The sequence below is a fragment of the Homo sapiens genome, chromosome 11, assembly GCF_000001405.40.
Source record: "Homo sapiens chromosome 11, GRCh38.p14 Primary Assembly".
In the NCBI taxonomy this organism is placed as follows: Eukaryota; Metazoa; Chordata; class Mammalia; order Primates; family Hominidae; genus Homo; species Homo sapiens.
The window spans coordinates 5,068,698-5,086,675 of record NC_000011.10 but is presented as its reverse complement, the minus strand read 5'-3'; the positions used below and the strand labels follow the sequence as shown (position 1 = coordinate 5,086,675).

At 34.4% G+C, this 17,978-nt stretch overlaps 2 pseudogenes across 1 annotated transcript; one reads left to right on the top strand and one right to left on the bottom strand.

Moving 5' to 3' along the window:
* OR52S1P (olfactory receptor family 52 subfamily S member 1 pseudogene) lies at positions 9,610–10,564 on the top strand (annotated as a pseudogene).
* On the bottom strand, positions 16,179–17,104 carry OR52E1 (olfactory receptor family 52 subfamily E member 1 (gene/pseudogene); annotated as a pseudogene). The gene has a single exon (NR_145505.2). The product of NR_145505.2 is annotated as an olfactory receptor family 52 subfamily E member 1 (gene/pseudogene), transcript variant 1, noncoding (transcript).
* Between the last annotated feature and the right edge of the window lie 874 nt (positions 17,105–17,978).

Genomic DNA, 17,978 nt, shown 5'->3' with positions numbered 1-17,978 from the left:
CTTATTTTTTTTATTAGTTTACATCTCATTAATCCACAAGTTTAGCCTTTTTTTCCTCCATTAAAAAACCTAATTTCAACAAATTTAAAGATCAAAATGGCTTTTATTAATGAGTTGTGAAGCATGCGGCATCCCATTTAAAAATAGAAGGATGCCTGGTAAGGTGGCTCATGCCTGTAATCCCTGCACTTTGGGAAGCTGAGGCGGGTAGATCACTTGAGGCCAAGAGTTCAAGAACAGCCTGGCCAACATGGCAAAAACCCATCTCTACAAAAAATACAAAAATTAGCACGCCTGTAGTCCCAGCTAGTCAGGATGCTGAGGCAGAGACTCACTTGAACTCCAAAGGTGGAGTATGCAGTGAACCGAGATCACACCACTGCACTCCAGGCTGGGCGACAGAGTGAGACTCCATCTCAAAAAAAGAAAAGAAAAGAAGTAAAAGGAGTTCCATTGGATAGGGTGTAACAGTTGTTTTTTGCAAACCAGGTTGAGGGTTGAGCAGGAACAAGGAAACAGAATAACACAAAATGAAAATTGGTCAATATTAAGTTACTTTTAATTTCTTCCTAAGAGTTAAAGCAGAGGGTATTTATTAATCATGCCAGCACAGACTGGGCCTTTTCTGATTGTTTCCTGTGACTATCTTATTTTTAGGAAAAACTGGTCTGGTTGGGGATTTCTGTGATTCTTTTTTTTTTTTTTTTTTTTTTTGAGACGGAGTCTCGCTCTGTCGCCCAGGCTGGAGTGCAGTGGCGCGATCTCGGCTCACTGCAAGCTCCGCCTCCCGGGTTCACGCCATTCTCCTGCCTCAGCCTCCCGAGTAGCTGGGACTACAGGCGCCCGCTACCACGCCCGGCTAATTTTTTGTATTTTTAGTAGAGACGGGGTTTCACCGTGTTAGCCAGGATGGTCTCGATCTCCTGACCTCGTGATCCTTTAGAGTTTCTGTTTGATTACATGGTACCTAGCACAAGTGACTCCATTTTGGTTTAGTTTGTTGGGACCTAGTGCAGGAGCTCACTTCAGAACAATGGCTTCTCATAAATTTTATTTAACACACATTTTTCCACACCTTTATCACACATCATAAATGCTACTGAAGCATTTTCCAAAGTGACATCATATACAGCTAGATAAACTTCCTTCTTTTTCAAAGGAAACTGTATTGTTGTTCATCAGCTTTGAACTCACAACCAACAGCACTATAACTCATTTTTGGATGAAGCTTACCTAGCAACGTTATTTTCTCCATAAGGCACAAGATGGCCTCCTTGCAATTGGAAAAACTTGATAGCACTTCAGCATTACACTTCAGGGCCATTTAAACAGTGGGATCATCAATAAGAAGCAAAACATGAGAAAAAGGTTGCACTAAGTAAAAAAGGACATTTGTTAATAGCATAAAAGCTGAAACTAGAAATCATTGCTTCCTTGTTCAACCTCAGCTGAAAATTATATTTTGATGTATTTCATATAATTAATTTCTATAACATTTATTCTAAAGAATCATGAAGGAAATAGAGTGTATATCACAACAAAAAGCTTGGATTATGCAATAAACTTGTAAAGTCTAATATGTTTTAAATATTTAACATAAATATGAAAATTATGAAATAAAATTAAACCTAATATTAATGTAACATGAATGATGCCAGTGTTTTAATATTTGTCTATATTAAAAATAAAAAGCGTTATTTAAAACAAAGAACTGAGGCATCATCTTTCTTTTCTCAATATATACATACGATAATTTTAAGAACCAACAATTCTGACATTCAAGCAATCCTGCTGAGAGACAGTCCCCAGAGACAGTTGAGGACCCAATGCTTCCTCCTTCTTAATTGTCCTCTTATTAAGGTATTAGCTCTAAAGAGTTACCCCCAAAGGCTTCTTTCTCTGACACTATGGGGAGGCCATCACCACTCCAAGACCATGGGGCCTTAGACACCTGGAAACTATCTATAACTGAGCTGATTTGGAAAAGCTGTAGGTCATAAGAGAACAGGTGGCTCCCTCGGGCCAGGTGGATTTTCATCCTGATATGCATGGGACCGCTAGTGAGGTAAAGCGGTGCTCACTTGCTCTTTTATGTCATAAGCTAGGCCTGCAATAGGCCGATGGAAGGTTTCAGGACTCTATTCAGAGCGGACAGGCTCTGAAAAACAGGCTTGTTTAAGATTTCTTGGGTCAGCTGCTACCATTTGGGCTTGTGGGCTTGGAAGAGGGTGCATCTATATCACAAGCAGTGGAATCTCTACTTTGTTATGAGTTGAGACCAGACTGTAACTTTCATTTAGGGTATGTTTGAGTACGGGCTTTTCTACTTAGTTAAGTGCATCAAATGAAGGCTGATGACAAAAATAATGGAAGTGTAGATGTATCAGCCCTATATTCTTTAGAAATCCATTACATTAATGCAATGTCTCCTGAAGCTCAAAGCACTCTGCAATGCATTATGTCATTTTACATTTAAAAGCACTGTGGGGTATACATCTTCTAAGGTTTAATGTAAAGATCACAAACTTTATACTTATACTTGGGTTCAAATTCCAGCTCCATAAGTTCATGGTAGAAGAGCTTTGAGCAAACCAATTGAACATTCTTAGCTTATTTTCTTATTTGTGTCATAAATATGATTACCTACCCAAAACCTTCCTTAAGGGATAATGTCAACAATGCAACTAACATAGTGGTTAGCAGCAATTCATGTTGTTTTACATTATTTTTGTGAAGAGATGCATACAGGATGTAAGATTTAGCCAGAGACATCATAAACCATTATATTATTCCTCCTCAAAAGCATATGTGACTTTCCTTCCCTTCATTCCCTCATTTTCTTCATTATGTAGTTAAACTAGGAATAAAATGCTGACAATTAAATTTTGTTGGAGACTGATTCCAGAGTATGTCTCAAAACTTAACATGATAATCAGAAAATTGTTAATGCAATACAGTGTTTGGGATTAGTGTAGACTATAATAAATTTATACTGATTCAAAGTAATTTCAAACCAGTTGTCTTCAATTTATGTTGAAACAATTTACCAGAAAATAATTATATTTCCTTACATTTCCCTTTCCTCTTTTTCTTTATTCATTCAGTGGAACAACAAGCAAATATGTGGAAAGACAATATTTCTGTCAAATAAAAATTTTCAGTATTATAAGGAAGATAAGTATGCAGAAATGTAGAATACAATATGACAAAATATAGAAGATGGGTAAGCGCAAATATCACAGGGACACCAAGAAGGGGTGTTAAAGGTGGCTTGAGGTAGTTAGAAAAATAATCTCAGAGGTTTTGATATGTGAGTAGAGTTTTCTACAATTCTGATTACAATTATTAAGGGTTTTATTTTATTTTAATTTTTTTAGGATAAGATCTCGCTGTGTCTCCCAGACTGCAGTGCAAGTGGTGCAAACATAACTCACTGTAGCCTCGAACTCCTGTGCTCAAGTGATCCTCCCACCTTGGCTTTTGAGTAGCTGTGACTACAGGTGCGTGCCACCACACTCAGCTTATTAAGGGATTTTATGTGTGAGAAATATTATGAAGAACAAAGACACAGGGTGATCATTTTCATAAATTGAGTAGATGACCAGTTCTCTATGCAGAGAGATATGGGGAAAGGTATTTTGAATGGTTAGAAAGATTTTTGAATATTTTACAAGAAAAGGGAGTCCATATCTTACTTGTAAACTCCTAGTTTGTATTTTTAAAATAAATACAATGGTAACATTGCATTGTTCATATACTTACATTAAACACTCTAAGTAATACATACATACATTGAATACATTGACTGTTAAGTAAGTCAAACCAGTTATATGTCTAAATTGCACTCTATGCTCATTTCCATTTATCACTCATTTTACACTCCTACTAAATTGGGTATGTATTGTTTTAGATTGTTTTTTGAGTTTATGAAATTTTCAGTACAAATGCGATTAAATTAAATACATACCTGAAGGTTTGAATTTTTTGTATATTTCAATATGAATGAAAGCAATTAAATTCTGCTCATTTTTATTTGAATAGCTTTCATATCTGTTTATATAATGTCATATTAATGTTAAGTGCTGCTGAGTATAGTATACTATAAAAGTACCACATATCTTTTAACAACACTTTTTTATTTTATTTTTACTTTACATGTAATAATTGTATATATTTCTAAAACACAGAATGCTATTTTGATACGTTTATAATGTGTAATGATCAAGTTAGAATATTCATCATCTCAAATATTTATTACTTGTGTTGAGAACATTTAAAATCCTATTTTCTAGCTTTTCGAACAATAAGTTATTGTTAACTACATTGACCCTACAATGCTATAGAACACTAGTACTTTTTCCTCTTATATAATTGTAATTTTGTATCCATTAACAAGCTCCTCTTTATCCTTCCCTTCCCCATATCTATCCCAGAGTGTAATAACCAGAATTCTATTCTCTGCTTATATGAGGTCTTTTTATTATTATTTGGCTACCGCATGAGGGAGAACATGTAGTATTAATTTTTCTGTGCCTGACTTACAGTGTCCTCCAGGTTCATCTATGGTACCACAATGACAGAATTTTATTGTTTTTTACAGCACAATGAATAATATTCCATTGTGTGTGTATACCACATTTTTATTATCCATCCATCTATTGATGGAAATTTAGGTTAATCCCATATCTTGATTATTGTGAATAGTGCTGCAATAAACATGGATGTGCAGATGTCTTTTCTATACAGTGATTTTATTTTCTTTGGATAAATAACTACTAATGGAATTGCTGGATCATATGGTGGTTCTAGTTTTAGTTTTTTGATAAACACTTGTACTCTTTTCCATAATGGCTGTACCAATTTACATTCCTGCAAACATTTTGTGAGAGTTCCCTGTCCTCCACCTTCCTGCCAGCATTCATTATGTTTTGTCTTTTTGGCAATTGCCATTCTAACAGGGTGAAATGATAGCTCATTGTAATTTTGATTTGCACTTATCTGATTATTAGTGATGTTGAACTTTTTTTATATAGTTGTTGGTCATTCGTATGTCTTCTTTTGAGAAATGTCTATTCAGCCATTTTGCCCATTTTTAAATCAGATTATTTTTTTCCTGTTAATTTGTTCGAGTTCCTTACATATTCTGGATATTAGTCCCTTGTTGGATGAATAGTTTGCAAATATTTCCTCCCATCCTACAAGTTTTCTCTTCATCCTGATGATTGTTTCCTTTGCTATGCAGAAGCTTTTTAGTTTTAGTCCCATTTGCCTATTTTTGTTTTGTTACCTATGTTTTTGTAGTCTTAGCCATAAAATCCTGGCCGAGACCAGTGTTCTGAAGGATTCCGCCTATGTTTTACTCTTGTAGTTGTATAGTTTCAAGTGTTACACTTAAATCTTTAATTCATTTTTAGTTAATTTTTGTATTTAGTGGGAGACAAAGGTCTACTCTTAGTACTATGCATACAGATATCTGGTTTTTTCCAGCATCATTTATTGAAGAGGGTGTCCTTTCCCCAGTGTTTGTTCTTGACATCATTGTGGAAAATAAGTTGGCTATAAATAACATGGATTATTTCTGGGTCCTCTATTCTGTCCCATTGGTATATGGATTTGTTTTCATGCCAGTGCCATGCTGCTTTTGTTACTATAATTTTATAGATTATTTTGAAGCCAGGGACTCTAATGTCTCTGGTTTTGTTCCTTTTTCTCAGTGATGTCTTGACTTTTTAGGGTCTTCTGTGATTCCACATGGATTTTATTTTACTTTTTAATTTATGTGAATAACATCATTGATGTTTTGATAGGAATTGTACTGAGTCTGCAGATTGCTATGGGTATTATGGTCATTTTACTAATAATAATTCTTTCAATTCTTGAGCATAAGATGGCCTTCCATTTTTTTCTTGTGTGTCTTATTCAGTTTTTTTCATTAGTGTTTTGTAACGGATGTTGAGTTTTACGAAATGCTTTTCCTGTGTCTGTTGAGATAATCACAGGGTTTTTTTCCCTTTATTCTCTTGACTGGATGAATCATATTAATTGATTTGCTTATGTTGAACCATTTTTACATCCTTAGGATAAATACCACTTGATCATGGTGTATTATCTTTTGATGTGCTATTGGATTCCATTTGATATAATGGTTTGCCTATTTTGTTAATTTTTCAAATAAACAATTTTTGTTTCATTTATTTTTATATTTGTTTTGTCTCTATTTTGTTTTGTTCTGCTCTCATTTTTATTGTTTATTTTCATCTACTAATTTTTTGTTTTGTTTGGTCTTACTTTTCTAGATCTTGAGGTGCATGATTAGGCTGCTTATTTGAAATCTTTCTATTTTTTGATGTGGGTGTATACGGCTATTAACTTCCCTCTTAGAACTGCTTTTGCTGTAACCAATAGGTTTTGGTATATTGCTCTATTTTCTATCTATATATGTTCTACTATATTGTCTCTCTATCTATATGTTCATATTCTATTTTCATTTATTCTCAGAAAATTTTTAATTTCATTCTTAATTTCTTTATGTAACCAATGGTCTTTCAGGTGCATGTTGTCTTATTTTCATGTATTTATACAGTTTCTAAAGTTTCTTTTTATTAATTTTAGTTTTATTCCATTATGATCTAAGTACATACTTGATAACTATTTGGGTATATAACTTAATATGGTTTTAATTTTTAAAATAATTATTGAGACTTGTTTTGTCACCTAATGTGTGGTCTATGCTAGGATATGCTCCATGTGCTGAAGAAAATATGTATTCTACTTCTACTAGATGAAATGTTCTGTACATTTGGTTTAAGTTCATTGTTTCTTTGTTGATTTCTGTCTAGATGATCTCTCCATTGCTGACAGTAGGTTACTGAAATCCCCAACTATTGTTACATTGCTGTCTATGTCTCTCTTTAGCTTTAGTAATATTTCCTTTATATATCTGGATGCTCCAGTGTTAAGTATATATCTAATCTATCTATATATTTGTTATATCCCCTTACTCAATTGGTCTTCTTATTATAATATAAATACCTTCTTTTTCTCTTATATTTTTTTTTGACTAAAATCTATTTTGTCTAAGTGCAGGTACTGCCACATACTATTGGTTTTGTTTGTGTGGAATATCTTTTTCCATCTCTTCACTTTCAGTTTATCGTGTACTTAGGTAAAGTAAGTTTCTTGTAATCAGCACAGTTGGGTTTTACTTTTTATCCACTTATCCATTTTATATTTTTGATGGGGGACAGAATTTAGATCACTCTCATTCAAGGTTGTTATTGATAGGTGAGGGCTTACTTCAGTAATTTTTTTGTTTCTGATTGTTTTTATAACCTTTGTTTCTTTCTTCATCTCTTACTGTTTAACTTGGCAGTTTGGTGGTTTTCTGGGCTAATAATGTTTGCTTATTTTCTCATACTCATTTGTATGTTTGCTCAACCATTGATTTTTATACTTTTATGTGTTTTCATGTTGGTAGATACCATCTTTTTACTTCCAGATCCAGGACTCCTCTGAGTATTTCTTATAGGACTTGCCCAGGGATAAATTTTCTAAGATTTTGCTTGTCTCAGAAAGACATTATTTCTCCTTCATTTCTGAAGGATAGATTTGCCAAATGTAGTCCTTTTATCTGGCTTTTTTTCCTTCCATCACTTCAAATATACCATTCTATTCTCTCCTTGCCTGTAAAGTTTCTGCTGAGAAGTCTGCTAAGAATCTAGGAGATTCCCTTATATTTGACTTGATGCTTTTGTCTCTCTCTCTCTTTTCTTTGAATTATCACTTTAACTATTATTTTATTTGTGGACATTTTGAGTGATTAAATATTTATTCTAATATAGGCAGTTTTCCAATGAGAATCACTGTATATATTTTGATATATATATGTAAAATATTACCTAAGATGTCAATTATTTTTGCCAGAAATATGATTTTTAATAATAATAATGGTTACTACGAATCTTACTCTAAAAGTTGTGCCAATTTACACTCCTACCAATTATTCTTGAGTTTATTTTTAACTCAAGCTTCACTTACTCTTGCTATAATCAATCTTGTTATTTTATTTGTTAAATACAATGCATAATTTGTGTCATATTCATTTTAATTTTTAATTTCCTGATTGCAAGTAAGACCTATTTTAAGTATTTGGACACTTGCATTAATATCATTGTTAATCTTTTCTTTACCTAAATTCTCTACCTATTTCCCATTGGGGAAATGTATCTATATTGTGTAAAGGAAAAGTTAAATAGAAAGAGTGAAGGTAAAAGTGAATGAGGAGTATGAGAATGCTGATAGGAACACAAATATAGATAAAAGCACAGAAAATGTTTTTTAAGGAAAAAAGGGAAATACGTTAAAATGCATTAGCCCAAGGATATATACATAAATCTAATTTTAATTAGAACAGGGTAACATGGAGAAAGTCTGGTTATGTTAATTGTCTTTTTCAGGTAAGAGCTCTTTTGCTTTGTGTAAGTGCATTGGGGACAGGTTAACTAATAAGAGAAGGCTATAATTTGGGCAAGCTTCTTTATGGCATTTACAAATGGTGAGGGGGAGAGCTTTCAAGAAGTAGTCATATTCAAATTAATGGTGATTGTATTTGCTAGTATTATATACAGAATCATTCCCATCCTCTGTATCTTCACAAGTATAGACTGTCACTTAATTATGGCAATTCATCCTTTTAATTGCATATGGGGGTTCCAGAATCAGTGTCTGAGCTAGAAACTAGGTCTATCACTTACCTGCTATATAACCTTGTACAAGTTACTTAAACTTTCCTTATCTAAAAAGGTGAATAAAATTTATATGAGTTAATACATAAAATGTTCCCAGGAAAATACCTGAGTCATAATCAGTGACTAACTAACTTAGAAATGTTACTTATTGTATTATTATATAAGTGTTAAATAATCTTATTTTTTCTACACTCCTATTTTCTCCAGTATATGTCCTAATTCAAAAATAATATTCCTTAGACTTTCCAAGGCTTTCTTGACACATATAGCTGTTTTTATGTTTAAAAGGGAATATCTATCCCCTACAGACACTGAAGGTCAAATAGCCAAATTAAGCAGTAACTTTGGGTATGAAATTTCAAACAAATTAAGAAGCTAAATTATGTTTCATAATTTCAGTTCAACATTGAGGTCCAGTCTGCTATACATATTCCAAACCAGACAGCATTGTACTCTGACTTAAGGGTTATTTTTCCTGATCATAGAGATCCTATAATCTACAAATATCTGTAATAGTAAAGAGAGTGTCTGATGAACATTATCAATTGTTTTTCTAAAAAGAAGAAAACAAAACAAACACATAAACAAAAAGAACTATTAGAGGACGAAGACGATTTTCAAAATGTTGTTCTAACAGTACCCTTTTTGTGGTAGAGTAACTCTGTAATAATATACGACTCTCTGTCAAATAATTAAATAATTTCTATCTAAATTTTTATAGACATTGTAATTTCTCCATGACCTACAGTTCCCTCTACTTTAACTTTCTTAACCCACCAGATTTCAAAATATATTAATTATTTTTTTGTTTGCTTTTGAGGAAAAATTTATGAAGAGAAAGTAAAAACATTTGACCCTTGTTATGTCAGCATACAATAACACCAATGCCCGTCCATCAACCTTTATTCTTATTGGCATTCCTGGGTTGGAAGCTGCTCACATCTGGATCTCCATCCCCTTTTGTGTGGTCTACCTGTTGGCCCTACTGGGAAACGGCTCTCTTCTGTTTATCATCAAGACAGAGCCCAGCCTCCATGAGCCAATGTACCTCTTCCTATGCATGCTGGCTGTAGTTGATCTTGTTGTGTGTTCTACAGCTGTGCCCAAACTTCTCAGTCTCTTCTGGTTCCATGATGGAGAGATTCGCTTTGAAACCTGCCTCACTCGTGTTCCTGATTCACTCTTGCTCCACCATGGAATCTGGCTTCTTCCTGGCCATGGCTTTTGACCGATATGTGGCCATTTGCAATCCATTAAGACATTCAGCTATTCTGACACGCGCTGTAATTGGGAGAGTGGGCCTAGCTATTGTTCTCAGGGGCATAGCACTTCTCAGTCCTCACTCTTTCCTACTACACTGGCTTCCCTACTGCAGAACCCATATCATTTCTCACACCTACTGTGAGTTCATGGCCCTCATCAGGATTGCCTGTGCTGAGACAAAATTCCGCAGAGCCTACAGCCTCATTGTTGCCTTCCTTACTGGGGTGGTAGACTTTATATTGATCATTTATTCTTATGTCCTCATACTCCACACTGTCTTCCAGCTCCCATCCAAAGATGCCCGGCTCAAATCTTTGGGCACCTGTGGCTCCCATGTCTGTGTCATCTTAGTATCCTATACTCCAGCCTTCTTCTCGTTTCTCACCCACAGGTTTGGGCACCATGTGGCTCCCCATTTTCACATATTTGTGGCCAACATCTATCTTCTTGTCCCACCCATGGTGAACCCCATTATCTATGGGGTAAGAACCAAAAGGATTTGGGACAGGTTCCTTAAAGTTTTCAGTTTTTCAAAGCCTCTAAGTAAATCATTTTTGTTGGTGAGAAATATCTGAACAAAACATTGTATTATCTTAGAATGTAAGGTCTTTTTATTAAGGCCCTCTTTTAATAATCAGAAAACTAAGATTTTTCTGTAGAAAGTAACTTATTTAAACATAATTATAAGTTTAAACAGATATAAGTTTAGATTTTCTATGCACTTTAGAAATATTTACCAAGTAGTGGTAAATATTTGAATTTGATTACTTGACATTTGAATCTTGTTAGACTGTTTGAAATTAATAATTTGAATAATATGACTGTCAAACAGTGTATTTCAAAGTTTCAACTGTCATAACTATCTGAATCTTGCCATTATAGAAGATATCAATCTGAACATATTTGGAAACCAGATTAATAAAAGAAGAGTAGGGTTTGGGTCATGGGGCAGAGGAAAGGAAAAAAAAAAGAAGAGGAGGCTATGAGAAAATCTGACTTTGAACTGTGTCTTTTTGGGGACTATTTTGACAACACTTTGGAATTTATTCTAAAATGCTGCAATTATTTTTCAGTTTATTCCTACATTGTTTCTCCTTCCCCCCTCTTAAGGAAATCTTACTTTATTATCAACTCTTTCTGATATATGATGACTAAATATGATGATTAAATTTGCTTAACAAAATGTGTGATGATGAATTTTATTCATTTTTCATGTGTCAAAAAAAATCTCTTAATGTTTTCAACGGATAAAAGCCTAGTGTACCTCCCTGAAATCTTAAACATTTAAAACCTTGAGATCATATGTTTTATATATAATAAAAAAATATTCAGTTTGAGTTTATTAGCAACATTTGGCCATTTAAATGATATGACTACATATTTTATAGTCTCATGATATTTTCTTCAGATCTATAAAGATTATTCTATATTCACTATGCTGAGTACAGATATGTTAAAAAATTTTCAAAAGGAAGAAGCATTTTTATATAATGCCTATTATCCTTCCTTATGATGTCCAGAATGGTGTTGCTCATTTCAATCCTGAGAGGCTCTTTAGCTAAGATGTATGAAGGTTATTACAATCATTATCTTGAGACAGATATATTACTAAGTAGAACTCTTTATCAAAGTGTTATTTTCTCAAAATAAACAAACAAACAAAACAAAGCAAAAAGTTCATGGGGAATCATTAGCGGCAAGAAGAAAGAAGAAGAAGAAGGGGAAGGAGAAGGAGAGGGAGAAGAAGAAGAAGAGATGTTTAAAATCGACATGATGTATAATCATAGATCTTTGGTTGGCCATGTATGTCTTATCATAAGACTTACTTTTTTTGTTTGCCACAGTTTATCCTTCTTGGCTGAAGTTCTTTCTTTCTCAGGTACACAATTCAGCACTTTCTTGAGAGTCTTTTGGTGCTAACTTCTCTGTTATATGTTCATCTAAAGTTTTCTTTATTTTACCCTCATTCCTGAATGAAATTTTTCTAGCTACATAATTCTACTTTCCAGTTATTACATTCTTTTAGTCTTTTGAAGTCATTTTCTATAATCTTCTGAAATCTATTTTTGCTTTTAATCAGTGTGTGGTGGGCCAAATTACCATGAATTTGTAGGTAATTATGTGTTCTCTGTGACCATCATTAAATCTTGCTGCTTTTTTTTTGGTATGTGTAGTTTCACGTGGATAAATCTTACAGGCATTAGAGTAAGTGAACAACACAGACAGAAGTCTACATACTGTATGAGAGTTTGTTCATGTGAAACTAGAGAAGGAAGAACTGAAATGGGGGTAGTGTTCTGTCACTTGTGTTTTTAACACTCTCTAGGTAACTTGTATATGCAGCTAAAATTGAGCAAATTAAGGCACAGAAAAGTTATTAATAGTTGACCACTGGAAAAATATTTTAATCAAGTACTTTACCCCTCAAGCTAAAAATTATGAAGAGAATAAATATTATTAAGCGGTCCACAGCTCTTTACTGTACATTCTGTATGCATAATCACTCAACCCTTGCAATATTTGGGGGTTATCATAGAAATCCAGATAATAAATAGCTCAGCACACTCATATTTGATGGGTTACTGAATAGAGAACTTGAGATTTGAAGTCTACCTCTAAAGAAATAACTTTTCTGTAGTCTCACAACTATTTTATATACAGCTGAATGTCATTGAATGGGGCTTTCAGCAACACAGCTTCTCACAGACTCAGCTGTCAAAATTGTTACTACTGCTCATACCATTCTCCATGACCACCTTCACTTTAGTTAGATTCATTTAGTCAGTGTTTAATTACTAACCAGAATTCGCTGGAAATACAATTATACTTAAGGCAACATTTGTAATGATTTGCAGGATCTCAGTGTTGGACACACAAAAATATAGCCTTTCTTTCCCATATGATTTCTGAAGAGATTGAGATAAAATAAAATAATGAAGGATGAATTCTAGATATAATATTTCTTAGTGATTAAAGCTATTGTAAAGGACTTTGTTTGGCTTGAGAGCCAGTGAACACCGTAAGTAACCCCCAGAGTCAGGCATATATTTCTCATCAGAATGGGAAGATTTACCACGTGGCGGAGCATGAGGAAACACATACAACTTATTTAGAAAGACTTACTACCAAAAGAGTGTGTGTGTTTGAGGGGAGGGGTGCTTAATTAAACTTACTCAGTTTATGCTTGCCAAATTTGCAAATCTATTACCTTTCTCATTATTCTTATCGTTCTCCCTAGCACATAGTGAATCAGGATATGGAGAAAGGTTATAACTTGAACATGAAGAGTGGGGAGAAACATGTTGCTCCAGTAGTTTGATAAAGTTGATTCAAATACATAGACATTTCTTTCCAGTATAACATATAACATTTATACGGTGCTGACATTCCGCTAGTTCATTCTGAATTTTTAGATCCCTTAACCTCAGTAATTCCTCCTGCAAACTGACAAGATTTCTAATATTGATATGCTTATTTTACAAATAAGAAAACAGAGACACACAGAAATTATTTGATTTTTCCACAGTCACAGAGATGGTAAAGGTGGAGCCAGGATTTGAACCTAAGGTGTCTGACACTAGATTTATATTCTTACCCACTATACTATATAGAAATAGTAATAGTTTCTGAATACAAGACATCAGGAATATCAGGTAAGTAAAAACAAAGTTTGCTGTGGGTTAGGCCAAGTCAGAGGTGTGTGCATGTGTGTGTGTGTGTTTGTGTAGAGGTATAGAGGTAGTGGTGTTCAGCTTTGGTTTGGCCAATTCTGCATGCAACTACCTCTCTTTCTAAAGATGATCCTGGTATTTCCTTTTGATGGTCAAATGATTATTATTAATCAACTTTCAACTTTCAGGAGTGATTGTTCTCAAATTTAGAATGCTTGAAGCCTCTTAGAGATTGCTTGGGTCTACTGTAAGGCAATCAGATTCAAAATTTCTGTGGTGATTTCCATAACATCTGCTTTTCAACAATCATCATAATATTTATGATTCAGTGGTTCACAGCCCATCCTTGGAGAAACAGAGTTATAGGAAGTTACCAATGGATATAGATGCCCTTCCACTTAAATGCTACAGCATGCTTTAAAATTTCTACCAGGACTTCTTGTTTTTATTTAGCATGTATACATTGGAAGACCATTGCTCTCAAAAGCTTATGGCCAAAAAAAGTGTACAATAAAAAAAAAAACTAGCAATTTTCTTGGACTGATCAACTAGTTAAAATCACAGAGCAACCAACTAATTCTAACATAAAGAAAGATAGACAACTTCAAGAAAAGTTGGAACATGATCCCTAGTTTATTAGGGCCAGATGTCAGATTCTACACAAGCCAGTAAAAAGGATTTACTAAAATTTTAAAGCAAATTCCTCAAAGTGAAGTATAGACTTATGTGAGAATATGAAATGAGGGAATTCATTCCCACTCAGGTTGTCCTCCCTAGACTTCTACCAAGTAATTGTTAGAAAGACTGGAGGCAGGACTGCCTGAAAAAGCGTTCCTAATGGAACAGACCTGGTAGAGGGGAATAGCAGCCACAGAAGGATGGGAATCACACTTCACCCAGTTCCCTGTTTCTCCTCTTCCCTGAGGAGCGAATGCCTTCAGCCACCAGGGGAACAGAACATGTGAAGATCATTGTTCCTTAAAGGAGCAGAAATACATTCTGTAACCACAGCATGAATCAGGATCATCTGAAGTCTCCTGCAGCTTGGGGAGGGGCAGAATCACTCACTGAGAACTTTTCACCTCCAAGGCCCAGGAACATGGTGCTAGCCTAGGATTGAGGCTGAAGCAATACAACAGAATAAATGAATAGGTAAACGATGAGTTCAGTCTCACAGTTGGGGTCCAGGAAAAGTCTATATTTACATAATTAATGTGTAAGTATAATGCCTATAAATACACAGTATAACTGACTTTTTTCGTAGATTTTCTAGTCCAGGGTGTAATGTTAATTAATACATATCCACCCCTAAGAATATTTGACATATTTTCCATTATAATAACAATAAGTAGGATTTTTTTAAAAAGTGCATTCTATAGAATATGTGTCATGGGATGGCCTAAGAAGAGCACTCTGACACCAATCTTGATTCAAAGTTTCAAATGAGTATTTGTAAATTAAAAAGTCTGAGAGGTCCTGCAATAAATACATTGTTAGAAAGTTAGAATTTTCCAAATTTCACGATCACATTTTCTCTTGAATCTGTCTATTCATAATGTCAATAATGTCACATGGACCTGGAGAGCACTGAATTATATCACATGGAACTAAACTTTCATTAAAACAAACAACAATCAACAATAACAACAAAAAACACTTAGGTAATGATAGACTTAGAAGATCACTTGGACTTTTGACATTCCATAAAAGTGAAACTTCTCTAAGGGATGGCACAAAAAAAGACACATAAACAATATTGTTTGGAAAAGAACAGTTCGTTTTCAAAGAACTATCAGTAAGTTAGATTTTATAAAAACTTGTCCACCACATAAAAAATACAACACGACTATTTTTTTTTTCTGTAAAAAAAGGACTACAAATTTACCAAGATTTCTAAGTTTCTGCTATTCTCTTTATGGTGGAAGACCTCAAGCTTTTTACATAGCTATCATATTCATAGTATCAATTTTATGCCTTCCAACGTTATTATGGCAAAGTCAAAAATAACATTATTTTTGATAGTCCAGGTATATGGAAAATCCTCCAATGTTTATTGTATAGAACCAGCACTTACTGGGATGCCTCGATATTTTTGTTTAAACTCAAGATATAAAGGGCTTTATAGTGTTTTTTTGTTGGCTTGTTTCTGGTTTTTTGTTTGAATTTGCTTTAAATTGCCTATGGCTATGCTATGCTCAGTCATAAAGGATGCAGGACAACGTGTTCATATTATTTCATATTAGGAATCTGAATCATGTCCCAACAATGGAATATTAGAAAACATTCTTATCTATCCATTTGACATGGGCTTACCTTTCCATTTCTGGGTAGCACCTGCCAAATGATTGCCATTTTCAGTCCTCCCCTAAGATGGTCCTAAATACTTTCCAAATGTTCTGTTATTATTTTGAACATAGAAAATTCATGCCACTTTCATTGTAAATATGATTATTTATAATATTGATAATCAATCTGATATTTATAAATGAGCTATGTTTTATTTATTGAAAAACATTTTCAGCACTTGTGCTCTAATCTGTTTGGTTCTGACACCATAAATTACAGAGTTGAGAGCAGGTGGAATGACTACATAGAAATTAGCCAGAAGAATGTGGATAAAGTGAGGTATATTCCGACCAAACCTATGGTCATGAATGAGAAAAATGCAGGCATATAGAAAGTCAACATGACACACACATGAGAGCCACAGGTGCTGAATGCCTTGAGTCGTGCATCATGTGAAGAGAGTAGAAATACAGCACAAAGGATCTGTACATAGGAAATGACAATTGCTATGATGTCAAAGACCAGGATAGAGATGGCACATAAGCCATAGATGATGTTAACCCTGATGCTGGCACAAGACAGGCGGGCAATGCCCATGTGCTCACCGTAAGTATGAGGAATAATTTGGTGTCCACAAAATGGAAGCCTTAGGATAAATAGAACAAAGGGTATGACAAAGACTAAGGGTCTCAGAAAGATGGCCAGTGCCATAACTGACACCACCTTGTTTGTCAGCACCAACGTGTAGCAAAGAGGGTCACAGATGGCCACATAGCAATCATAGGCCATGGCCACAAGCACAGCTGATTCCATGCCAGTGCACAGGTGGATGAAGAACATCTGGGTAAGGCATCCTTCAAAGGAGATTTCTCTCAGGGTAAACCAGAAGGTGCCAAGCATTTTAGGGATGGTGGATGTAGACAGGCCCGGGTCAATAGATGACAGAATGGCCAGGAAGTAGAACATGGGATGATGGAGACTACTGTCAGTCTGAATCACAAAAAGGATGGTGATATTCCCAAGGACAGCTGTCAGGAACACAGCAAAGAAAGGAAAACCAACCCAGAGATGCATACTTTCCAGCCCAGGAATTCCCAGAAGAAGGAAAGAGTAAGGATGAAATAGAGTGGTATTCATTGAGGCTGTTCTTCTGGGAACTTTTTATGCTAAGATATATTATAAACTAAATGTCTCTCGTTCACTGAGTGGGCCTTATCCTTGCTTAGTGCACACAGAAAACAAAGAAATCAGTGAAACTAATATCTGCTATATTTCTGCATCATAGAGGCTTGAAAGTACGTACAATTTAATGGTAACATGTGGCCAAAGATTTAAATGTACTTCATTAGATTCATTCAAGTAAATTCAATATTTTAGTTCAACAAACATTAATTATCTACCACGTAAGTACCAGATTATATGCTGTGACTGATTGCAAAAGATGAACTAAAGGTTTATTTTCTGATGCAACATAGTGGTTTAAAGTTAGTGTTAGTAGTTGTAACAGTTACCCAAATCAGCAATGTAAACTTATAAAATATTGGTGAGATAAAATTGTTCCCTTACTACTTTAGATGCACATAAGATTCTCCTGAAAATATTTTAACATTGTTTAATGGAGAAACTGCTTAATTCATAGATACATACATTATGGACAAATAAGTAGACACATGATTTAAATATGACCAGACCCATTATAGTTCACATTTATGAGCTGAGAATATGTAATCCACTCTTCGAAGAAACCACAAATGTATACAACTGGAACAGTCTAAGATAATTTTGGATGTGTGCAGGTGTTTTATCGTTTAAGTCTGCAAGTCCATTTCTCATTCCAAGTCATCTTCCAATCTCTCCTTTCTTGTGGGTGCCAATATTAGAGAGGAACCCTGCCTTGAGGTCTTATTAATGAAACCTCTTACTCTGGATAACCCTCTCAAGATAATCTTCTTACTCTGGGTCTACTTACAATGGAATGCACATATCCCTCTTCATTTCAGATCTGTTGATT